Source organism: Homo sapiens, chromosome 1 (assembly GCF_000001405.40).
Source record: "Homo sapiens chromosome 1, GRCh38.p14 Primary Assembly".
Lineage (NCBI taxonomy): Eukaryota > Metazoa > Chordata > Mammalia > Primates > Hominidae > Homo > Homo sapiens.
Genome location: NC_000001.11, coordinates 91,992,816 through 92,019,074, shown reverse-complemented (window position 1 = coordinate 92,019,074; position 26,259 = coordinate 91,992,816). Strand labels below are relative to the sequence as shown.

General features: G+C 37.6%; 1 protein-coding gene across 16 annotated transcripts in view; it reads right to left on the bottom strand.

Moving 5' to 3' along the window:
* Positions 1-4,646: 4,646 nt before the first annotated feature.
* The window catches only part of BRDT (bromodomain testis associated), a 65,058-nt gene continuing 43,445 nt past the window's right edge, over positions 4,647-26,259 (bottom strand). For 15 of the 16 annotated variants that reach the window (NM_001242810.2, NM_001242805.2, NM_001242806.2 and 12 more), the window contains 5 exons: positions 24,821-24,992; positions 16,926-17,026; positions 14,456-14,661; positions 13,776-13,956; positions 4,647-4,869 (listed from right to left, as the gene is read on the bottom strand). In NM_001242810.2, coding sequence (NP_001229739.2) covers positions 4,801-4,869; positions 13,776-13,956; positions 14,456-14,661; positions 16,926-17,026; positions 24,821-24,992 — 729 coding nt within the window. In that variant the 3' untranslated portion in view covers positions 4,647-4,800. The remainder of the gene's footprint in view (positions 4,870-13,775; positions 13,957-14,455; positions 14,662-16,925; positions 17,027-24,820; positions 24,993-26,259) is intronic. The other variant, NM_207189.4, reaches the window with a different exon arrangement.

Below are 26,259 nucleotides of genomic sequence, written 5' to 3'. Positions count from 1 at the left end.
GTGTACTCCAGCCTGGCGACAGAGCAAGACTCTGTCTCAAAAAAAAGAAAAAAGATTTCACCTCTCAGTATCTGAAGTGGACAGAAACTTTAATACCTCTAAATTTTATCTTTAAATCATATCCAAAAGCTTTATAATTTAAAAATTATAAAATTCATAATTGGATATCGTATTCATGTATAAATGACTTATAACAATTTTTGGACTGGCAAACTGGTTTTGACTGTTGGCTTCTACTTAATTGTGTACAAATTAATAAATTAATGAATGATATATAGAGATAGTATTTCTACATAAAGTATTAATATCCAGGATATACAAAGAATTATAAAGAAACAAGAATTCCCATATAGAGTAACTATACTAAAAACCACTGAATTTCACACTTTAAAGGGTTTTATTTTAGTAATTTTTTAAAAATTACTATAAAGAGGTCGGTCGTGGTGGCTCACACCTGTAATCCCAGCACTTTGGGAGGCCGAGGCGGGTGGATCACGATGTCAGGAGATTGAGATGATCCTGGCTAACATGGTGAAACCCCGTCTCTACTAAAAACACAAAAAGAAATTAGCCAGGCGTTGTGGCTGGCGCCTGTAGTCCCAGCTACTCGGGAGGCTGAGGCAGGAGAATGGTGTGAACCCAGGAGGCGGAGCTTGCAGTGAGCCGAGATCATGCCACTGCACTCCAGCCTGGGTGACAGAGTGAGACTCCACCTCAAAAAAAAAAAAAAAAAAATTAAATTACTATAAAGAAAAAAAGAATGGGCCAAGGATGTGAGGAGCCAACTTAGAGAAGAAAACCCAGGTTTTCTTCTAATTGAATTGTACTTACAGAAAAACCAGTGTATAAGCTAATAATTATTTATAGGAGGAAACACTGATGGTAGAAACCAAAATTGGTAGAATGCCCTTAGGAAGGTAAAAAATAAGAGATTCCCCTTAAATGAGAGCACAGACAATTCATCTTTTGTAACAGGAGATAGCAGAGCATCTGAATAGTGATGCTTGTAGATGTGGTTTTGGAAGTCTGTGGAAGGTCTCCTCAGATTGCTTCTGTTCTCAGTCCAAGAGAAGCAAGAAATAGGTAGCATAGACTGATGGTGGGGTAGTGTTGATTAGTGGTCTGAGTAGAATGGAGATATAAAATAGTTGACTCCCTAGGGAGAGTAAATGAACCATGGAAACAGTAAGACTTCTGGGCAGCATTAAAGTTAATTTGAATTTATGCTCACAAATTTAAAGTGAGACTGGTTATCATGGTCACATATCTTTCTCTAACCACACTCAGCTTCCTGAGTGCAAAGTAGGCGTTCATATTTAATAAGGATTTGAGCTTTGCCAAGCGAATACAACAAAGAAAGGAGCAATGGAGTTGACAGGGCATGCAAAGGAGTGATTATTAATAACATACTACAGGCTAGGTGCAGTGGCTCACGCCTGTAATCCCAGCACTTTGGGAGGCTAAGGAGGGCAAATCACTTGAGGTCAGAAGTTCGAGACAAACCTGGCCAACATGGTGAAACCCCGTTTCTACTAAAAACACAAAAAAATTAGCTGGGCGTGGTGGCATGTGCCTGTAATCCCAGCTACTACTCAGGAGGCTGAGGCAAGAGGATTGCTTGAGCCCAGGAGGCGGAGGTTGCAGTGAGCCAAGATCGTGCCATTGCACTCCAGCCTGTGCAAGTGTGAGATGCTGTCTCAAATAAATAAATAAAAAGATAAATAATGTACTAAAAACTTAGGATAAGCACAGAAGTGAGGGCATGAAAGGAGAGGAGCTGCGAAAACACTAGGATTAATGGATTGTAGGTCTTCATGAGGTCTAAGGATTGTTGGCATCAAGGACCTATAAGGAGTATGCTAGAAAAAAGATAGGAGAAAGTAGTGAGAGAATAGGATGCTTGAAACTGAGATTAAGGGTTTTTGTTATCAGTAATGACAAAGGAGTGAGTGGCTGAGGCTGATCTTGCTACTCCAGATCATTAGCAGAGAGGTCAAAGGACTGAGAAGTATCATTTGGAGAGTGACGGTGAGGTAGAGACTAAAATCTCTGAGAACAAGAGTGAACCAGGAATGGTAAATGACAATGGGTGGTATAGTCTGATGATCACGAAAAATTTTAAGACGGAAGTTTTTAGGGAGGAGGGAGGTGAGAAAGAGAATGGTCTACAAGCAGCACTACAAAGATAAGAAAAACCACAAGAGCAAGCACCAAATGAGAGGCTGCAGGAGACAGCCAGAGTTCTGTGAGAGCAGGGGAATCTCAAACTTCAGTGTGTACAAGAATGACCTAGATGGTTAGTTCAACTATAGATTGCTGGACCCCACACCCAGAGTTTCCGATTTAGTAAGACTTAAGTCTGAGAATCTGCATTTCTAAAAAGTTCCCAAGCATTGCTGTGTGGTCCAGGGACTACACATTCAGAACAACTCAGAACAAAAGAAAGAAAAAAGCAAAAGGATTCACTATGTAGAGAACATCATTGATGACTTATCACGGATTCTAGAAAACACAATAAAAAAAGGTTCTAGGAGTTGGAGCAGGTGTGAGATGGGGCCAGAAACGGAGTCTTCACAAAATCAGGCTTTTGTTGAAGACAGTTATATGCATGATGTTAAGAGAAGCCAATCTTTTACTAAAAATAATGTATAACATAGGAAGCATTGGTTATAAACTAATGGTATTGACTTTTATTTGCTAAACTGACTTTAACCCACTAAAAGTTTGTTGATTATCTGCAATGTGCCAGGCCCCTTATAGCCTAAGAAGAGGTTAAGTGCCAAGTCAGTTAAACAGAATAACCAAACATAGCTCTCTATAATCTTTTATATTATGTAAATAAAATTTTATATATATATATAATCATAGGACAATCTGTACTGTTTAGCACAAACTGATTTCTTAATTAAAAGAGGTATAGTTGGATAAGAATACACTATCACTTTATTTATTTATGTATTTATTTAGACAGGGTCTCACTCTCATTGCCCAGGCTGGAGTGCAGTGGCATGATCTTGGCTCACTGCAGTCTTGACCTCCCAGGCTCAAGAGACCCACCCCCCCCGCCCACCAACTGCCAGTAGCTGAGACTACAGGTGCGTGCCACCATGCCCCACTAATTTTTGTATTATTTTTGTAGAGACAGAGTCTCAACATGTTACCCAGGCTGGTCTTGAATTCCTGAGCTCAAGCAATCTGCCTGTCTCAGCCTCCCAAAGTGCTGGGGTTACAGGCGTGAGCCACCCTGTCACTTTAATTCTGGCTGTGTCATGAAGGTCACATCACCATTTAGTTACTACTTAATCATGTTTTTCACATGCCTGATAATTTAAAGATATGTCAAAAATTTATCATATTAATTATAAAAATAAGTGAAGTCAAGATAACTTTTTCTCTTTCTCTATAATAAACATACACTTTGAATTTTTACTTTAGATGGTATCAGAACACTGCCTGAATCATGTTACACTTCCAGAGTTCAAAATTTTAAAATACATTAAGCTGATACACATGATTTACACATAATTGCAACTTGAAAATAACAAAAGAGAAATATTTTACAGAATATTTAAATAAGTCTTATTGTTGTTTAAATATTTTAAACATTCATTACTATCACATATGCATATTAAGAAATCTCATAAGTTTATATAGAAACTTACATACATAATATTCACTATTAAATATTACAAATAAATATTTTAGTTATTTTGACTCAAATTCAACATCTTTCAAACCATCGGCAATATTTCTTGTTTTTTTTTTTTCTTTTTTTGAGACAGGGTCTCATTCTGTTGCTTAGGCTGGAGTGAAGTGGCACAAACACAGCTCACTGCAGCCTTGACCTCGTGGGCTCAAATGAGCCTCCTGCTTCAGCCCTCTATGTAGCTGGGACTACATGGAGTGCGCCACCATGCCTCATTTGTTTTTTTGTTTTTTTTTTTTTGTAGAGGCAGGGGTCTCACTCTATCACCCAGGCTGAAGTGCAGTGGTGTGATTTCAGCTCACTGCAACCTCTGCCTCCTGGGCTCAAGTGATCTTCCCACCTCAGCTTCCCAAGTAGCTGGGACCACGGGTGCGCACCACCACACCCAGCTGATTTTTTGTATTTTTTGTAGAGACAAGGTTTCACCCTGTTTCCCAGGCCCAAATTCCTGAGCTCAAGAAATCTGCCCACCTTGGTCTCCCAAAGTGCTGGGATTATAGTTATGAGCCACCACAACTGGCAGTTCCAGCCAATATTTCTTTAAAACTACATTTCAATATAAATTTTTAATATAGAACCAGCTGAGAATCTTATGAAATCTGACATTCAGTGAAACCAAGTATTATTTGTTAGAATCTAAATATTTTTGAAGGCAGACGAATATTTGTTTTAAAAGTTAAAAACTCAACAGGAACTATGTTTTTTATACACTTTCATATATTCTTCATTATTTTTCACTTATTGAATTAGAAAACATACTCTTCATTTTTAAACAAGCAGGAGCTATCTTTTGGATTTTCATTGCTTAGTACAGGGCCTATAATATATAGACAATTATTTATAGAATGAACGAATATCTGGGAATTTGTCCAATTTTTAGGGATCCAAAATTATTAAATTTCCTTTGAATTATGTCGTTTAAAAAATAAGCATATAGCTATTAAAAATGTAAGTGAAAACTGTTTAATCATTTTAGAGCAGTCAAAATACAATATAAGATTGGTATCTTGTTATCTGAAAGCAATCATTTTACCATATGCATTTTGATCTTTTACCATTCATTTTAAGTTGATGGTTAATTTAAAAACTGAGTTTTAATCAAAGTTGTTTTCAAACATTGTCATAATGTCACTTTGAAGGGTCATATCAATGGTACCCACCATCTGTAGAAAAAGCAGAAAATTTTAATATTACTTTAAAAATGTATGTCTTTACTACAACTATACAATAATGATTATGCAACATTTAGGAACAAATCATACAAAAGAAAACTATTCAATAATTTTTTAATTTTTATTTTCTCAGGTTGAACAATAAATTTGTACATAATTATTTCTGTTCAAATATTACCTGATTTGTTAATATATTGTTCATGTAATAAATAAAAAACAAAACCTACAAGAACACTAAGAATAAGTTTGACCCCTCCCTACAAGTAAAAGAGAAAGTTCAATGTTGACAGAGTGGGTATGAATAAGAACATGAACGCTGAGAGCACACTGTCTTACTTCTAAACCCAGCATAATGCCAGACACACAAAATTACTTTCTGAATGAACCAATATCTTTGTTATGTGAGATAACTATAATATGTAATGCTAAAACTATGGGCTTTCCTTGATTCTGCCACTTACTAACTGTGTAACCTAGTCTATTCTATGTATAGGCATTTATGAAGAATCAGATTACATGTAACATTCAGCAAAATGCCATATTAATCACGAAAAAGCTGTTTAAAAAATAAGCCAAAGTAGAGAAAAAGCTAATTAAGACAAAGGAAACAAATGTCAACTATATTCTGAAGCCTTTTCTAACTGCCCTTATAGATATTCTTTAGCATCTGAGATGACACCAAATATTAAAGTTCACAAAATTATTTTTAAAAAATAAATCAATAAACAGCAACAGACCAGAGTGGTAGGTAAAAGCACCAATTTGCAATCAGTTGGTTGGCTTCTTGAATGGGAATTAGCATTCTCATTAGCTATGTGGGAAAATATTTGGAATTGTGATTTACCTACTGAAAGTATTTGAAAGGTATGTCTGACTCTTACAAACCATATAAATTTCTTTAAATCTGCCTTAGAGACAAAAAAATACTTCTTAAATCTTAATCTAGACTACATTTTTTTTAATCTTTTTTTTTTTTTTTGAAACATTGTGTCGTTTTGTCACCCAGGCTGGAGTGCAGTGGCGTGATCTCAGCTCACTGCAACCTCCGCCTCCTGGGTTCAAGTGATTCTCTTTCCTCAGCCTCCCAAGGAGCTGGGATTACAGATGTGCACCGCCATGCCCAGGTAATTTTTGCATTTTTAGTAGAGACAATTTTGCCACATTGGCCAGGCTGGCGTCGAACTCCTGACCTCAAGTGATCCACCTGCCTCAGCCTCCCAAAGTGCTGGGATTACAAGGCGCAAGCTGCTGCAACTGGCATGAACTACATTCTTTTTTTTTTTTCTTGTGACAGAGTCTCAATCTGTCGCCCAGGCTGGAGTGCAGTGGCATGACCTCAGCTCACTGCAACCTCTGCCTCGCAGGCTCAGGTGATTCTCATATCTTAGCCTCCCAAGTAGCTGGGGCTACAGGTGCGTACCACCAAGCCCAACTAATCTTGTAGTTTTAGTAGAGATGGGGTTTCACTATGTTGGCCAGGCTGGTCTCGAACTCCTGACCTCAAGTGATCCACCTGCCTTGGCCTCCCAAAGTGTTGGGATTACAGGCATGAGCCATTGCACCCGGCCCCAGACTACATTCTTAACACCCAGTTTCTAGGATGCCAAATGTCTAGCACAGATTTTTCCTTTAAGTTCTATTCTAAGCCTCCAATATAGGCATTGGATACGTTGTCCTAGTTTAAATATCATGTGATACTGCTATAAGTATCCAGACATACTGCAAAATTTGTAGAATATGTAATGAAACCTGTTTTTATTTAAAGGTTGTGTGTATTGGCTTATTTTAGATTCTCTTACATCTTGACTAAAATCTGTGCATGTGGAACAATTATCGATAGAGAACTGGTATTCTCTGTACCAATTAACCTTAGATACCATGATTTTTTTTTTTTTTTTCTAGATGGAGTTTTGCTCTTGTTGCCCAGGCTGGAGTGCAGTGGCGTGATCTCGGCTCACTGTAACCTCTGCCTCCCGATTCAAATGATTCTTCTGCCTCAGCCTCCTAAGTAGCTGGGATTACAGGTGCGCCACCATGGCTGGCTAATTTTTGTATTTTTAGTAGAGATGGGGTTTCACCATGTTGGTCTCGAACTCCTAACTTCCAGTTATCTGCCTGCCTCGGCCTCTCAAAGTGTTAAGATTATAGGCGTGAGCCACTGTACCCAGCCAATACCATGATTTTTAATACTAATGCTCCCCATAGCTGACACCATAAGCTGGCTATTCCTTACTGTGTGGTCCTAAATACACTCTTCAACTGTTCAAATTTAAGATCAAAAGTTTGGTCAAGGTAACTGGCATGAGGTAAACGTTTGGGAACTCTGCTAAGTGTCAAGTTATTATTGCTTTATAGAGTATGGCTCTTTCGACTGGCAGCAAGAGGCTGGGCTGTCAAAAATGATAGCAAATAGATCCAAGGTCGGGTTGTTAGTTATCAAGCTGCTAGATGTAACATCATTAGTCAGCTTTCAGTGGGTTCCTAGTCTAGTCATGTTCCAGAAAAGTGCTTAGGATATTGGGAAATTTATCAGGTTACCTAGTTGTGTTGTTGGGCCGCAACTAGGGTGCAGTGAAATCACTTGGGGGTGACTTAAGTCAGGCCCGTGTGAGTGCCAACAGGAAACATTTTACATCACTACAGAAAGACTTTAGGTCGGCTGGGCGTGGTAGCTCACGCCTGTAATCCCACAGACTACATCTCAGGAAAAAAAAAAGAAAGACTTTAGGTCAACTACTAACGAAATTTAACAATGAGTTCCTAAAAACCTCCAAAAAGACAATACCAAAAAGTTTCTATTTAAAATTGAGTTCATTAAAATTAAAGTTTAAAATTCAGTTCCTTAGTTGCATTAGCTACATTTCCCGTGCTCAACAGCCCTATGTGGCTATTTGCTAGTATGTTTGAATGGATAAAGCATATTTCTATCATTGTAGAAAGTTCCACTAAGATCACACTGCTCTAAAGTAAACTTCACCATATGTTAAATGTACAGCACTATTAAATGCAATTTGTTTCTACCTTAGTATTATAAAATACGTGGCTGACAGAACTTTTGTTATTCCCTAGAAAATTAATTTGTACTTTAACCAATACTATAGCTAAAGCCAATGGCTGTTCTCTTCTCAAACTAATGTTCTTATATGTCCTATGAATTTACACGTTTTTCCTAGGATTACAAAAATATCCAGTTCTATGTGACTGAGATTGCTGGGAAAAAAAAAAAAAATCTAGCACCCAACAAGGTAACATTCACGACACCTGGTATTTATGATTATTAGTTATGCAAAGAAGCAGAAAAACACTATTCACAAAGAAGAGACTAACCAATCAATTGAAACTGACCCAGAACTGACATACATATTGGAATTAGCAGAGAAGCACATTAAAACAGTTATTTTAACTGTATTCCATTTTTTCAGCAGTTTAATAGAGATAAAAAAAACCACACACATTTTTAATAAACCCAAATCTCACATCTACAATGTCTGGGATGAAAATTAATACACTGGGGGTTAACAGAAGATCAGACACTGAAGAAAAGACTGGTGAATTTATCCAAAATGAAATTCAAAGGGAAAAAATAATTTTAAAAAAATTAAAAGAACAGCCCAGGTGCAGGTGGCTCATGCCTGTAATCCTAACACTTTGGGAGGCAGAGGCAGGCAGATCCCTTAAGGACAGGAGTTTGAGACTAGCCCTGGCCAACATGGGGAAACCCTGTCTCTACTAAAAAAATAAAAACAAAAACAAAATTAGCTGGGCATGGTGGCACGTGCCTGCAGTCCTAGCTACTCAAGAGGCTGCACCATGAGAATCACTTGAACCTGGGAGGAGGCAGAGGTTGCAGTGAGCCGAGATCACGCCACTGCACTGCAGCCTGAGCAACAGAGTGAGATTCAGTCTCAAAAAAAAAAAAAAAAAAAAAATTAAAAGAGCATTAGTGAGCTATGAGGCAACTTTAAATGGTCTAATACATAAATAATTGGAGTCCTCACAAGGGAGTGAGGTGGGATATTATTTGAATAAATAATGGCCAAAATTTTTCCAAGCTTGATGAAAACACACAACTTGAATAAGCTCAACAAATCACAAGAAACATGAAGAAAACAATTGCTGAAACCCAGTGATCAATACAAATGTTAAAGGCAAGTAGAGGAAAAACATACTATATACAGAAGACCAAAGATAATAGTACTGGATTTCTCAGTGGAAACAATGGAATCAATGAGACAGTGAACAAGTACCTTTAAAGTGCTAAAAGAAAAAACATTAAAGCTCTAGAGTTCTAAATTCAGCAAAAGTGTCTTTCAAAATTGAAGGCAGGGCCAGGCACAGTGGCTCACACCTGTAATTCTAGCACTCTGGGAGGCAGAGGCAGGCAGACTGCTTGAGCTCAGGAGTTCGAGACTACCCTGGGCCACACAGTGAGACTTTGTCTCTACAAAAAAAATAAATAAATAAAATAAAAAATAAAAAAATTAGCTGGGTGTGGTGGTGCATGCCTGTGGTCCCAGCTACTGGGGGGTTGGGGTAGGAGGATCGCTTGAGCCTGGGAGGTCAAGCCTGCAGTGAGCCATGATCATGGCGCTGCACTCCAGCCTGGGCAACAGAGTGAGACTGTGTCAAGAGAAAAAAAAAAAAAAAAAAAGTGGCAAGTTGAAAAACCTGCAAACAAATGTTTATGGCAGCTTTATTCTTAATTGCCATACGTTGGAGGCAACCAAGATGTCCTTCAATAGGTAAGTAATAACTAAACTGTGGTATATTCATATAATGTGCTAAAAAGAAATGACCTATTGTGATAGCCAAGACATGAAATCAACCTAAATGTCCATCAATGGCTGAATAGAAGAAATGTTATATATATATAATGGAACACTATTCAATCTTTAAAAAGAAAACCCCATCATTTTCAACAACATAGGTGAATCCAGAGGACATTATATTAAGTGAAATAAGCCAGGCACAGAAAGACAAATACTGCATGATCTCACTTATCTGTGGGGTCTTAAAAAGTTGAACCCATAGAAGCAGAGAATGAAATGGTAGTTTATTAGGATATGGGGAGAGGTTGGGGGTAGAGATAGGAAATATTATTCAAGGAATACAAACTTTCAGTTAGACAGTAGGAATTCCAAGAGATTTAATATACAACATGGAGACTATAGTTAAAAACAATGTATTATATACTAAAAAATTACTAAAGAATAGATTTCAAGTGTTCTCACCACAAAAGGTGAGGTGATACATGTTAGTTTGATGTAGCCATTCCACAATGTACACATATTTCAAAACATAATTGTATACCATAAATATATATAATTGTCAATTAAGATAATTAATTTTTTAAAATTCAGCTATCAAGCCATAGAAAGATAGAGAGGAACCTTAAACGCACATTGCTAAGTGAAAGACAACAATCTGAAAAGGCTGCATAGGGCATGATCCCAACTATATGACATTCTGGACAAGATAAACCTGTGGAGACAGTAAAAAGATCAGTGGTTGCCAGGGTTGTGAGGAGGGATGAATAGGTGGGCCACAGGAGACTTTCAGGGCAGGAAAACTATTCCGTAAGGAACTATAATGGCTGATGTATATCATTACACATTTGTCAAAATCCATAAAAAGTACAACACGAAGAATGAATCCTAATGTAAACTATAGACTTTACTTGATTATACTAAGGCTGACAATGATGTATTGACATTGATGGTGGGGGAGGGCATATATATAGAGGGGTATGGCACGTAGGAACTCTGTATTTTCAGCTTGGTTTTGCTACAAATGTAAGACTGCTCTAAAAAATAAAAGTCTATGAATGGAAAAAAAAGGCCAAATAAAGGCATTTTCAGATGCACAAAAGTGGAAAGAACTATTGCCAGCGGACCCAGACTATAAGAAATGTTCAAAGGAAGTCCTTTATGCAAAAGGAAAATTACACTATTTGGATATCTGGATCTAAACAAAGAAATGGGCCAGGCACGGTGGCTCATGCCTATAATCCCAGCACTTTGGGAGGCCGAGGTGGGTGGATCACCTGAGGTTAGGAGTTCGAGACTAGCCTGGCCAACATGGCGAAACCTTGGCTCTACTAAAAATACAAAAATTTACCAGGCGTGGTGGTGGGTGCCTGGAATCCCAGCTACTTGGGAGGCTGAGGCAGGAGAATCACTTGAACCAGGGAGGTGGAGGTTGCAGTGAGCTGAGATTGCACCATTGCATTCCAGGCTGGGCGACAAGAGCGAAACTCCACCTCAAAAATAAACGAATGAATGAATGAATGAATGAATGAATAAATAAATAAATAAATAAAGGAATGAAAAGCACAGGAAATGGTAACTGCATATGTAAATATAAGATTCTTTATTTAAAACAATTTAAGAGATATTATCAGTATTTAAGCAATAGCATAAGGCTGACGGGGAGGAATGGAAGTAACTGTTGTAAAGCTCTTACACTAAACATGAGGTGGTATAACGTAAATTGAAAGCAGACTGCGATTAAGTTAAAGCTGTATATTGTAAACCGTAAGCAACCACTAAAATAGGAAAACAAAGAGTTACTGACTATGTCAATGAAGGAGATGAAGTGGACTAAAAAAATGCTCTGTAGACATAAAGAAGGAGATCATGTCTTGCAGGAACATGGATGGAACTGGAGGCTATTATCCTCAGCAAACAAATGCAGGAACAGAAAATCAAATACTGCATGTTCTCACCTATAAGTGGGAGCTGAATGATATGAACTTAGGAACACAAAGAAGGAAACAGCAGACACTGGGGTCTACTTGAGGGTGGAGGTTGGGAGGACGGAGAGGAGCAGAAAAGGTAACTATTGGATACTGGGCTTAATACCTGGGTGAAGAAATAATCTGTACAACGAACCCCCGTTACACCAGTTTACCTATGTAACAAACCTTCACATGTACCCCAGAACCTAAAACAAAAGTTAACAACAAAAAAGCTTAATACAAAAACGGGCAGAAAAAAAAAGAGAGAGAGAAGAAAGACAGGAACAGAAAACAATTATCAAGATGATGAACTCAAACTTAACAATGTCAATGATTATACTGAATGTAACTAGTCTAAACATGTGATTAAAAGGCAGAGATCTTTGGCTAATGCCTGTCATCCTAACACTTTGGGAGGCCAAGGTGGGTGGATTGCCTGAGCTCAGGAGTCCGAGACCAGCCTTGGCAACATGGTGAAACCCTGTCTCTACTAAAAATACAAAAAATTAGCTGGGTGTGGTGGCACGGGCCTGTAATCCCAGCTACTCGGGAGGCTGAGGCATGAGAATCGCTTGAACCCAGGAGGCAGAGGTCGCAGTGAGCCAAGATTGCACTACTGCACTCCAGCCTGGGCGACAAGAGCAAAATTCTGTCTCAAAAAAATAAAATAAAATAAAAATAAAAATAAAAAACAGGCTGGGCATGGTGGCTCACATCTGTAATCCCAGCACTTTGGGAGGCCGAGGCAGGCGATTGCCTAAGGTCAGGAGTTTGAGACCAGCCTGCCTAACATGGTGAAACCCCATTTCTATTAAAAATACAAAACATTAGCCAGGCATGGTGGCGTGCGCCTGTAATCCCAGCTACTGGGGACGCTGAGGCAGAAGAATCGCTTGAACCCAGGAGGTGGAGGTTGCAGTGAGCCGAGATCACACCACTGCACTCCAGCTTGGGCAACAAAAGCGAAACTTCATCTCGATAAAAACAAACAAACAAACAAACAAACAAACAAAAGCAAGCTCCCATTACATGTTGCCTACAAGAAACTCACTTTAAATAATTAAAAAAAAAACACAAGATAGGTTAAAAGTAAAACGATGGAAAGAATTTTACTGTGCCAACGCTAGTCATAAAAAGGTGAAGTGCCTATTTTAAATTTCAGTGTAATTTTCAGAGTAATTCTTACCAGAAGTAAAGATCATTTCATAATGAACAAGAAGATAAACCAACTTGGCCTGATTAACACCCTATCCAACAGCAATAAAATACACATTCTTCATGTGCACACAGAATATTTACCAAAGTAGACCATAAGCCAGGCCATAAAATAAGTCTCAATAAATTTCAAACAATTCAGTCAGATATGTGTACGACCACAATGGAATTAAATTAGAAATCACTAACAGAAATCACTAGAATCAGAAAATTCCCAAATATCTGGAAACTAAACACTTCTGAAATAATCCATGAATAAAAGAAGGAATCAACTGTAGCTTTTAAAATATTATTTTCTGCATATTAGGACTCCTAAGTGAAAGTCAGCTTCTTAATCTAGCAGTCAACCGAAGAAATGCTGACCAGGAACAGATGGCACATCTTCTGGCCACAATTCATAGGTGGTTTACAGATTTTTAAACAGTAACAATAGTAAGTGATAAATCACTTCACCTAGTGCTAGGCATTTTCCTATGTGCTTAATACATGCTCATTCATTTCACCTTCACAATAGGTATTATTATTCCCACTTTAGGGAGTTAGATAATTGCCGAGGTCTAAGAGTCTAGTAAATAGGCAGACCATCTTTTTTTGTTTGTTTGAGAGCACCATGTTGCTCTGTCACCCACACTGGAGTGTAGTGGTGTGATCATAGCTCCCTGCAGCCTCTAACTCCTGGCCTCAAAAGATCCTCCCGCCTCCAAAATCATCATTTTAACTCAGGTAGTCTAGTACTTCCAGGATCAATACTCTATTATTGCATTGCCTCCTTTGGCTATGAATTTTTTTATTTTAAGCTTTAATTTTAGAACCTGATCCTCACTAAAGAGGTAAGTCCACTGTCACTGAAAAATTACCCCAAATGCATCCTTGAACATACAAAAGACAGTGCTCTGTTAAATCTTTCCCTTGTTAAATTAGATTTAGTAAACTAAAATTCACTTACTGCTTCTCTCCTCCTCCTCTCTTGTTCTTTCTGCCTTGCTAAATCACGGTCTTTGAGAAGCCAGAGTTTGGATTTATCTTGAGCTTCTGATGACTGCTGATGTTCTTTCTGCTCTTCTCCAGAGCACTTGTTTTGTATTTTATTTGAAAAAGATTCTACAGTCAATCCATTCCCAAGATCCCTTAAAGAAAAAAAGTATAGCTCAAAGTAGGTTTCAAGTTCCTTAAAAGTATTACAAAAATGTTATTAAATGACAAATATAAAGCCATATATTAAGACAACCATGTTCATGTTATAACATTATTTTAAGCTTTATTTTTGATGCATCAAATTACACATAGGCTAATCCATATTAACAAATAAATGGTTTTGGAAAACTGTGGCCAAGATGAACCACTATCTTCTAACACATAGACCAGAAAAACTTTAAGACATTTCTGTAAAATAATGACTATATAATTTAGTAATTAGTATCTTTAGTAGCTTAATCCCTTGATTATTTGTCTTCAAAAGAGATATCATCACTTAGAAAAAGTATCAAATGTACTTTTTGCAATTACAATTTGCTCTGTGTTCTACTAAACAGTTGAATCATAGTCACTTAACAAATAAGAAATTTAATGTATTTAAAATACATTCTATATCTCCCAAACCCTCCTTTAATCCAGTAAATTACAGACCTCTGATTTTCTTGAGATGCTTTTAGTTCCTTTGTATTTTGTTCCAAATGCTTCCGTATGAGTTCCTGTGTCCGAGCTTTTACTTCCTTTTCTATGGCTGCTTTTCTAAATTGGTTGAAGAGCTCATCTGAGGATTTCATTACACCTGATGGTTTCACTGGTTTGCCTAAACTTTTCCATGAATCTGCATTCTTAATCTTTATATCCTAAAACAAATATTTGGTTCAGTCTATGTCTACAGATGTTAACCAAATTTTGGAAGGAAGAAAACATTTTTTGATGATACAGCAATAGATCTAATTAAGATTCTAAAGGGCTTCATGTACTTTTACTAAAGTAAAAGGTTACTAAAGTCAAAGGTTACTAAAGTTAGAAAAAAAATACAAAAACATAATAGATCATCTAAACTCAATTATTAATCTGAGACCACATTAAAGTAGCACACTTGCCAATTATTTTAAGACATATATATTAACTGCATAATTTGCAGAAAGCATAAAAATAAATAAATCCCTCAGTGTAATCAAGATACTTATTATCCTATAGGGAAAATAAAGAAAATGCTCAAAGGATTAATAAGAGGCAAAGTAAGATTGTACCCTAAAAATGCCATGGAGTTTGTTGAGAGTCCTCTGACATGGATATATTTTTCCTTTTGGTGGTTAAGAAGAAAAAACTTAAGTGATGTGACTGCTCTTCTTAAACAAGATACACCATGGTTGAGGTTAGTGCTGCCCACCAGAAATATATGTAATTTAATGTTTTCTAATAGCCACGTTTTAAAAATTTAAGTAAATTTAATATATTTATTTAACCAAATATACCCAAAGCATTATTTCAACAGGTAATCAATATAAAAGACATAAAGTATTTTTTCATACTAAGTCATCCCAATTTACATTTGTAGGACATTTCAACTTCAAATGCTAAATTCCTACTAGAAACAATTGATCTATAATTAGATTTCATAAAATTCACAGTTGAAAAACTAGTTATGTATAGTCAAACTGTTCCAAACACATCTAAGTCTTCCGAAACTGAATTGTGTCCATTTTAAATTTTAATTAAAAGACAAATTTTAAAACTTAGCTCCTTTAGCTACATGTCAAGGGCTCAATTAGCCACATGTGACCAGAGGCTACCATATTAGATAAGCACAAGTCTAGATGGCCCTTTCTACAGTTAAACCTGTCCATCTATAATACGGAAAGAGGGCTGTGCAATACTAAAACATCTTCTGCTGAATTTCTAAAAATAATTATCTCCTTAATAATTATGCTTGATTGCACTTTTGATGTATTTCCATGAAATATGAGGAGAAAACTTGTCTAGGGCCCCATATAAGGCAAAAGAAAATGTATGACTAGATATATTTATAGGCCTTTTATTTCTATCCTGAAGTAATAAAAGGAGTCAAAACATCCCTCCCTGTCCCCAACACAATGACCTTTACCAATCACCAATGATTAGCCAGTTGTGCTTTCCTGTAAGTTGTCAATAAAACCTGTTTTTGTCTCTACCTATGGAATGGGCTAATTACTAGTTCTATGACTCACTCAACTAAAGCATCTCACCTTCCACCTTCTCACCTTTAGATTTGTCCTCTAAAGTACTTGCAAGGAAAAGGTAAGAAGTAGAGGGTAATGGAACAGAGGGATGGAGGGGGATAGAGAAAAAATATATAAAAATATTCCTTTCATAGTTTCTGAAAACACCTTGAACAGTACCTTATGTATCTTAATGTATCCCAATCATCTAGAATATTTGTTGAAAGAATGATATCAGTATATAATTTGAAGATTAAGTAGACATTAAGACTCCATTAGGAAATCCCTTGGATTTCTTAGATATCCCTAGAATAGATTCTAAAAGATGGTTTTATGACATGCTTTAAAATTGAGATCACTGGCAAATATCAACATTATAGAACTTTCAATTAAACACAAACAAAAGGGCCAAGCATGGTGGCTCATGCCTGTAATCCCAACACTTTGAGAGGCCAGGTGGGTGGATCACCTAAGATCAGGAGTTTGAGACCAACCTGGCCAACGTGGCAAAACACTGTCTCCTCCAATAAAAATACAAAAAATTAGCTGGGCATGGTGGTACACACCTGTAATCCCAGCTACTTGGGAGGCTGAGGCATGAGAATCGCTTGAATCTGGGAGGCAGAGGTTGCAGTGAGCCGAGATCGTGCCACGGCACTCCAGCCTAGGCGACAGAGTGAGACTCCATCTCAAAAAAAAACAACAACAAAAAAACACAAACAAGAGGACCAATGATAGGTAGGTATGTGGGTAGGGGAAGGATGTTGCTCAGAAGTACTTTTTCAAAAAATTACGTAGGCAAAAATTAGGCTTAGAGATCCAACATTTCATTTAAGTCAGGGCTTTTAAATACCTCTTGTACCACTTCCAAACCCAATTTCAAATCCCTTCAAGATTTGTTAGAAAAAAAAAATTACTTTTACCTTCTGTACAGGAGCTTGACATTCAGATTCTAACATCGTTGTGTCACTATCACCAGATGGATGCATCACAGTTATGCCATTTGAGAGCTGTTCAGAATCACCTGGATGCACACATTTTTAGAATAGTATAATTAAAATATTTCATCCTACTTACCCAGAATTTGATTTTATTTTTCCTTCCAGGTCAGACACTATGAAAACAAAGAGACTAATTTTTTGATGCATCATTTAACTTTGGAATATTCTTAGTTAGGGACTTGTTATACTATAAAATATTTCTCATTTGAAAGTTACCACTTTGCTCTTTTTTTGTTATTTTTGCTTGTTCTGGTCAGCATGAAATATAGCTGACATCATACTCACCCACCAAAACCTTTTTATCTGACCCCATGCTATAGCAGCTCTCCAGTTTAGACTGACCTCAGCTCCAGAGGTGTGTTTTTTTTTTTTGCGGGGAGAGGGTCTTGCTTTGATGCTCTAGGCTGAAGTACAGTGGTGCAATCTTGGCTCACTGCAACCTCCACCTCCAAGGTTCAAGCAATTCCCCTGCTTTAGCCCCCTGAGTAGCTGGGATTACAGGCACCCACCACCATGCCTGGTTAATTTTTGTATTTTTAGTAGAGATGGGGTTTTACCATGTTGGCCAGGCTGGACTTGAACTCCTGACCTTCAGTGATCTGCCCGCCTCAGCCTCCCAAAGTGCTGGGATTACAGGCATGAGCCATTGTGGCTGGCCAGGCCTGTAAATTTCAACATGAGTTTTGGAGAGGACAAACATTCAAAACCATAGCATAACTTATCTAAAGCAATTTAGACTGCTGATAAAACCCAGTTATCACTAAACATTTACTGAGCACATACTATGTACTAAGCACTGGGAACGTAAGGATGACTAAAATGTAATAACTATCCTCAGGTATTACGCGCCCAGCCTAGAGGTGGGTTTTAATAAGGCCAAGCCAATCCTGGTAATTCTATCTCACCATCAGTAACTCATTTAGGAAGAGCAGACCTAAGCCAGTGCAGGGCTTCCAAGGGAAAGATGCTGCCTGGGTGGCCAATTGGAGACAAAAAAACACAGAGAGGGAAACTAAGATACCAGACACTCAAAATAGCTACCAAGGGAACAGGGATGTGAAACGCAGTAAGTCTGACTCTGAGGTGAGGAGAACAAACTATGCAATTTCATTAATTCTTAAGTTTTCATGCAAATATTTCATTTATTATTATTGTGAAGATTAACTACAGAGTGTGAGCCCTTATCAAGCCATGACTAAAAGATTGACCTATCTTTGGACTATTGCTTATGTATGCCAACAAAATTCCTTTATTAAATCAGTTTGGGCTGAGTTTTCTGTCATCTGCAACATGGAACATCCTGATGCGTGAAACTTAATTGATCACTTGATTCAATTCTCTCTAGTCATAGTCTACAGGTTCTAATTCGTGGCTGAAGAACAAGAGGGACAAATCAAAACTGAGCTGCTGTCTTTGTTAACTAACCCAAACTAACAAAATCCTGGCCACTTACATATTATAGGGACTTACATTTAAGCTTCTACCATCCATCAATCCCTTGACTGATTCTCTGGCTAAATCATACTGAGGTTGAGGTTAGAAGAAGAGAGCAAGGAACATCAAGGAATAGCAGTGAGCATAGGAGGGCAAGACAAAACACTGTCAAAGAATGCAGAACAAAAGCTCACATTTTTAATTTGTACGTCTGTACACAGCCTCAATGTAGCCATGTTTCCTCACTTCAACAAGGAAAGGGAAAAAATAGTGAGAAAAGCTGTAAGTATAGGACTGCCTTCCCTTCTCTGCTTCCTGTCAGTGATTATTTAGGAAGGAGAAAAAGTATGTATGGTAAGTGAAATTCTAAAGTGACCCTTAATTTGCTGACTCTAAGTTGGTAAGTGGTGATAGTGCCATTATTGACAATTAAAGAGGAAGGATTAAAATCTGGGGACCAGACTGGGTGCACTGGCTCAGGCCTGCAATCCCAGCACTTTGGGAGGCCAAGGCGGGAGGATTCCTTAAGCCCAGAAGTTTGAGACCAGCCATGGTGAGATCCCATCTCTACCAAACAAAACAAACAAATAACAACTTAGCTGGGCATGGTGGCACACATTTGTGGTCCCAGCTACTTGAGAGGCTGAGGTAGGAGGATGACTTGAGCCCAGGCGGTTGAGGCTGCAGTGAGCCATATTTGCGCCACTGTACTCCAGCCTGAGCAACACAGGCAGACTGTCTCAAAAAAATAAATACAATCTGAGGACTAAAAGGGGGAATTCAGTTTTTACATGGCTGTGTTTGGAATGCCTATGTGATGTTTAAGTAAAGACATTTAGTAGAGTTGTATAAACATGCCTGGGGCCTGGATACATTTGAATTGTAAAAATGAGACTAGAAGTCATGGATGCCAAAGATCACCCAAGTATAGAGCACTGCTTCCAACCTTTTCCATGTCATGATATATAGAAAATGATCAATGTATGGCCACCTGCATAAATGGAAAGGCTGCTCCCAGCTCATTGCTATAAGAGCTGAGGGGACATTCATTCAGTAAGACTGTGCTTTGAAACATGGTTGGGAAATTCTGGGGTAGATGAAAAAAACAGAGAGGCTTAAGGATGCAATTCAGAGAATTATCAACATCTAAAGGGAGGCAAATAAAGAGATATCTGTAAGGAACAGACAGATGGGATTGTTAAGAGAGGTGTCATAAAAGCCTAGGAAGTATGTCAAGGGTCCAACTCTCTGAAAAATATTTTTACATGAATGACCCTGTGATACCTCAAAAGACTACAAAACTCATCTTTCCTCAGAAGCCTATTCTTCATCTTGTGTCCCGGGTCTGTCAACCTGGACAGTATCCAGCCAGTATCCTGTGAGCCACCGAAGCTTATATCCCTGGGTTATTAACCCAGCATGTTTTCATATTTTGCAGACCTGCCCATTCTACTCTTGCAATTTCTTTTAACTTTCCCCTTCTCTTTCCTTCTATCACTTTATGTCATTTTTTCCCTACTACTGCAACAGCCCAGCTGGTCTCCTTCCCTTCTCTGGTCTCTATATTCTCCTTTCCTTCAACTCACCTAAATAATATTGGCAAATTAATCACTCAGAGGCACACCTTCACTCAAAAAAACCTTCATTGCCTCCCCACTGACTATGCTATTATAATTAAGTCCAAAGTATCTAAAGGGTTAAATGATCTAAACCTGGTCTACCTTTGTAATTTTCCACATTCCTGTTTAATCCAACCAAATCTTTAATCACATGGAATTATGAGTTGCCTAAATACCTTCACATTCATGTTGCTTCCTCCATCCAAATGCCTTTCCATACTAAATAAACATAGGTAAGCCTTATTTTTTTTCTGCACTATCCAGCTCAAATGATACTCATTCTGTAAAATATGTATCTGCCAAACACATCAGGTGATTCTGCCTTCTTCACCTCCTTAAACTTCACTTTAGGTTCTTTCAGGGCACATTATTTTTACTTTATATACCAGTTGTTTATTTCTCCTATGAGATAGCAAACTCCTGGATTTACTTTTTCATTTGCAATTATGAATTCATGTTTATATAACAGCCTAAATATTTTAAAAACTCAATATAATTTGGTGAAGTTTAAAAAAATTTTTTTATTATACTTTAAGTTCTGGGATACATGCGCAGAATGTGCAGGTTTGTTACACGTGCCATAGTGGTTTGCTGTACCCATCAACCTGTCATCTACATTAGGTATTTTTCCTAATGCTACCCCTCTGCTAGCCCCCCATCCCCCAACAGGCCCCAGTGTGTGATGTTCCCCTCCCTGTGTCCATGTGCTCTCAGTGTTCAACTCCCACTTATGAGTGAGAACATGCAGTGTTTGGTTTTCTGTTCTTGTATTAGTTTGCTGAGGATGATGGTTTCCAGCTTCATCCATGTCCCTGCAAAGGACATGAACTCATCCCTTTTCATGGCGGCAATTTAGTGAAGTTTTTATGAGAAGGGGAAAGGGTAAACTATAAGGATAAGGGTATGGCTAAAAGCTTCAACTTATAAGGAAAAAAAATTCAACATTGTCCATTTCATGTGGAGATCATATGTGGGCAGGTGTGATGAAAACCAGTAACACTTAAAAATTCATTTTTTAATCTTTTATGTACTCTAACATTTTGTCAAACTATTTTTCCAATAAGAAAACTTCAACATATTGCTTTTATCATTTAATTGTAAGGTTTAACAAAAAATTTATTTCTATTGAGATTTAACTCCAGAAAAAGAAAATGTCTCTATAAATTTTATGGCTCACATACATTTGCAATTTCCCTTGGGCATAGTGCCACCTACAGTTGGCAAATGTAAACCATGTTGTTTCTGAGAATCTTGCTAACTGCAAAAGAACAGCTACTCTGGCATCATCCAAACTTTCCTTTATATATTAGCTTACTAATAGGCATCATATAAACAGAATTTCAAGTAATATAATAAACTGATCCTTACTGAAGGTGTAGGTATTAAAAGCCTGACTTTTCATAGATAGGGTGTTTTCTTAAATTAGGAATAAGAGAACACCTTGACTACATTCTCACCTTTGTTTTTCATAATCTATTCCTTTTCAAGGGCAAGGCTACCCTAGCATTCTTATAAAACATACTCTAGTTAAAAGAGTAACTTTTTCCTACTTTAGCTCTTTATAATGAGCCTTCAAATGTTCAAATCCCTCCAATTAAAAAACTCAAAATAATCTTGCCCACTCCTCCAAAAAATCTATTTTCCTGTTAAAGCCACAAATATCTTTCCATCCTCTTTACCAACAAAGTTCTTCAAAGAATGCTTTACATTCACTACACTCAAATTCCATTACTTCTCAATTTACAACAATCTGGTTTCTGCCCCATCACAACAGGTACTAAAAAAGCTTCCGCAAAAGTAAAAATTCTCACATTCCCAATGTAATGCTCTCTCTCCATTCCTCATCCTACTTAAATGCTCTGCAGTATGTGATACTTTTGATTTCCTTCTAAAAAAAAAATCTATCTTCCTGGGCTTTTATTACACTATTTTTTCTTTTTCTCTACCATTGATTACCTCTTCTTTTAACTATTTTTTTCTACTTTTACTGAGGAGGTTTTGTTTCTTAGAATTTTGTCTTTAAGCTTTTCTCTTCCTGCTCTGCAGATTTTCCTGGGTGTTTTCATTTATTCTTATGGCTTCAAGTAGCTTCTACATACTGTTAATTCCTAATTTCTAATTCCTGTTACACCCTGTTAGTTCTAGAAACCTATTTCTAGCTTTATATTTCCACTTAGATATTCTGTAACATCTCAAACATGTGCCAAATGAGTTCTGTCCCCTGTTTTCAATCCAACTATTAGATAATCTCCCAGTAGCTCATTCATCCTAACGAAGTATATCAATTCTGCCACAAAAATACCTTATATATCCACATGCTTTCTACAGTTGCTGTGTTAGTTTTGGTCCTAATAATTTATTTCCTAGACTACAGCATTCAGTGTCCTTACTTAATCCTAACTACATCAGAGCATCATCTTAATCCATCCTCTACATGGTAAGCAGCAATTTTTTCCCTATTATAAAACCTGGGGCTGGGTGTGGTGGCTCACGCCTGTAATCCCAGAACTTTGGGAGGCCAAGGTGGGTGGATCACTTGAGTCCAGGAGTTCAAGACCAGCCTGGCCAACATGGTGAAATCGTCTCTACAAAAAGTACAAAAATTAGCCGCATATGGTGGTGCATGCCTGTAATCCCAACTACTTGGGTGGCTGAGGCATGAGAATTGCTTGAACCCGGGAGGCAGAGGTTGCGGTGAGCAGAGGTTGTGCTACTACACTCCAGCCTGGGCAACAGGGCGAGACTCTGTGTCAAAAAAATAAATAAATAAAATAAAATTGAATAAAATCTGATTATGCTTCCTATACAAAGCTCCTTGTTGTACACAAAGTATACAAATTTGTATATAATTTGTTGTATACAAATTAATGGCACTGGTATTCTAGGTAACTCATGACCTATAGCTATCATATCTTCTGTTATCCTCCAAGTATCTTGAAAATGTATTTCAAAAAAAGAGTAGACATAAATATTTCATACTTTGGATATTTGTTTATTCTTCTTCCTGGAATGCCCTCCAGTGTGGCCTTAGATATTTTCTCCATTGATCTCCATTCCCTTCCCCACAATGAAGAGATATAACTTTAATTAAAGACAAAATGGAATATTCAAACACAGAATAGGGAGGCTGAGGCAAGCGGATCATCTGAGGTCAAGAGTTCGAGACCAGCCTGACCAACATGGTGAAACCCTGTCTCTACTAAAAAGACAAAAAATTAGCTGGGCGTGGTGGTACATGCCTGTAATCACAGCTACTCAGGAGGCTGAGACAGGAGAATCACTTGAACCTGGGAGACGGAGGTTGCAGTGAGCCAAGATTGCACCACTGCACCCACCCTGGGCAACAAGAATGAAACTCTGTCTCAAAAAAAAAAAAAACTACAAAAAAATTAGCTGGGCATGGTGGCACATGCCTGTAATCCCAGCTACTCAGGAGGCTGAGGCAGGAGAATCGCTTAAACCCGGGAATCATTGCGGAGGTTGCAATGAGCCAAGATTGTGCCACTGCACTCCCACCTGCAAGACAGAGCGAGACTCCATCTCAAAAAAAAATTTAAACAACACACACACACACACACACACACACACACACACACACACACACACACACACACAGAATAGTAGGGAGATTTTAAACTGAAAGCTGTGAAGAAGGATCAAAACATCTCCCTCTTCCTCCTAATCTGTGTTGCAGCAAAACAGCTTGGAAATTTATTCTGCTAGGGAGATACCTCTGCCCTTGGGTGGCCAAGTGGAAACCAGGGAACATTCTAGAGGGAAGAAGAATAGACAAGGAATATTCATATCTGCCCTTAACCTAGGCCTAAATACATTAGTGTCTCAAGGTTTAGTCATGCTCTAGGCTAAACTCGTATCAGAAGTACCCTTCGTGCCACACATCCCCTTCAACCCACCAGAACCAAGTTGAGACAGGCAAAACTTTCCCTTCTGATAAGATATTAAGTCAAATGAATCTAAAAATATAAAAATTTAACCAGTTTTAGACAAATAGGAACTACCCTTAGGCAAGTATTTCTAGCCCAAGTTTCCTTAACTGTAAACTATTTTATATATCTGTAACTTCTTTTCTTTACTTATAGAATCTCTAAGTATCTTTCCCTTATTCTTTTTTTTTTTTTTTTTTTTTTTTTGAGACGGAGTCTTGCTCTGTCGCCCAGGCTGGAGTGCAGTGGCGGGATCTCGGCTCACTGCAAGCTCCGCCTCCTGGGTTCACGCCATTCTCCTGCCTCAGCCTCCCAAGTAGCTGGGACTACAGGCGCCCGCCACTGCGCCCGGCTAATTTTTTGTATTTTTAGTAGAGACGGGGTTTCACCGTTTTTTAGCCGGGATGGTCTCAATCTCCTGACCTCGTGATCCGCCCGCCTCGGCCTCCCAAAGTGCTGGGATTACAGGCGTGAGCCACCGCGCCCGGCCCTCCCTTATTCTTTCCTACTTTTCTAACCCAGATAGGTGTCATGGAAGTTAAAACAGTATTTCCCAGATCTGCTCAGATCTGGGAAAGTAAATTGGGTGTGAACTATATACATAATTTTCTTTCTTTTAAATATAATGAATGCCTACAGGTATAAAGCAGATAATTTCTAATGATGTGCTTCAGTGATTATTTGTAACCTGGAATTTACTAGTTATGATTGTTGGTATTTCCCAGATATTTAACATTTAAGATGACCATAACATTTTCATATATGTATAGGTTTAGAAGTCAATTTCTCAATAACAGTTGTTTACTTGTTAATTTCTTACCTGAGGGAGGCAGAATTTGTAAAGGTGAAATGTTTTTCACAGTCTGTAAATGTTCTAATTCTTGATAATTAAATGCTAATTGGTGGTGATTTGGTGGCATTACATGTGAAGGTGTGGTCTGATGAACAAGGGTAGTATTGGCAGAGGTTGTGTCTTGCACACAATATCCTATCTGTTAAAACAAAATCAAAGTTATCACTTAGTTTTAACCATACAAGAAGTATACCAAAGAGAACAGAAACACAAGAGTCAAGAATATAATTTAATGCTACCTTTTTAAAATACCTTATTATTTAAGTCACACAAATCTATAATGTATAGTTATCCCTATCTTGCAAATGAGCAAACTGGGGTTTAAAAGCATTAAATAACTTGGCCATTATATGGCTTACAAGAGGTAGAGTAAGTCAAAGCCTATGATCTTAGTTATGAGTATGCATGTATATTTTACATGAGTATACATGTATATTATTAAACAATGCTATTCATTTAAAGCTTTCCTGTAATTACTAAAAAACAAAACAAAACAAACCCCTGAGCTTTTATAGCAAATCTAGAGACCAATTCACTTACTTTAGCCATTTTTCCTTACTGTATTACAGACATAAGGGGATAAATTTAAAATTACATTATGGTCAACCCACAAGACTATCAATAAATTCTAATTCAATATTCAGGTAACTATTAAATAAAAGCTGTAGTGTAATAATAGCTAACATTTATTTAATGTTTACTATGTGTGAGGTACCAGGGTAAGTCCTTTATATGGTTTTTCTTTAATTCTCACAATAATGCTGAGTTAGGTATAATTTTTATCTCTACTTACATTTTCTAGAAATAATAGAAGCAGCTTACCTGAAATCTCACACCTATTCTGTGGCAAGCGAAGTTACAGTAGCAAAGCCCAGTAGCCTTATCTAACTAAGCTCTGAGTTGTAGATGGTACAGAGATAAATAAGACAGTCTTTCTCCTTTGTCTAACAAGGCATTGGGGTGAGTGAGTAGGTAGGCAAGTGTACAAGTAACACCTATGCAAATATGAATAAAACAAATGCTATAGGAATGTTTATTACAACAATATAGACCCAGGCCAAAGCTCAAAGCCTAATGCTCAGGTTTAAATCAGCCAAAGAAAAAAATCACTTTCTGAACTACACAAATATATACATTCATACATGAACCTATGGATTAATATATACTACCTTTTACCATAAATAGGCATTTTTTTCCTCAGTGAGTGAAAGTGAAAAAATTTTGACCAAAAATAGACCATTAAAAAGGTGGCATTCTACATGCTACGTATTGAGATAAAAATGCTTCCAAAGTTCCTTCATAACTTGACATAATTTTTTATTCCACTAATACACCTTTGGCAAGACAGACCATCTATAACTTCTTCCTATTCAAAAGGAATGGGAAGGCCAGGCATGGTGGCTCAC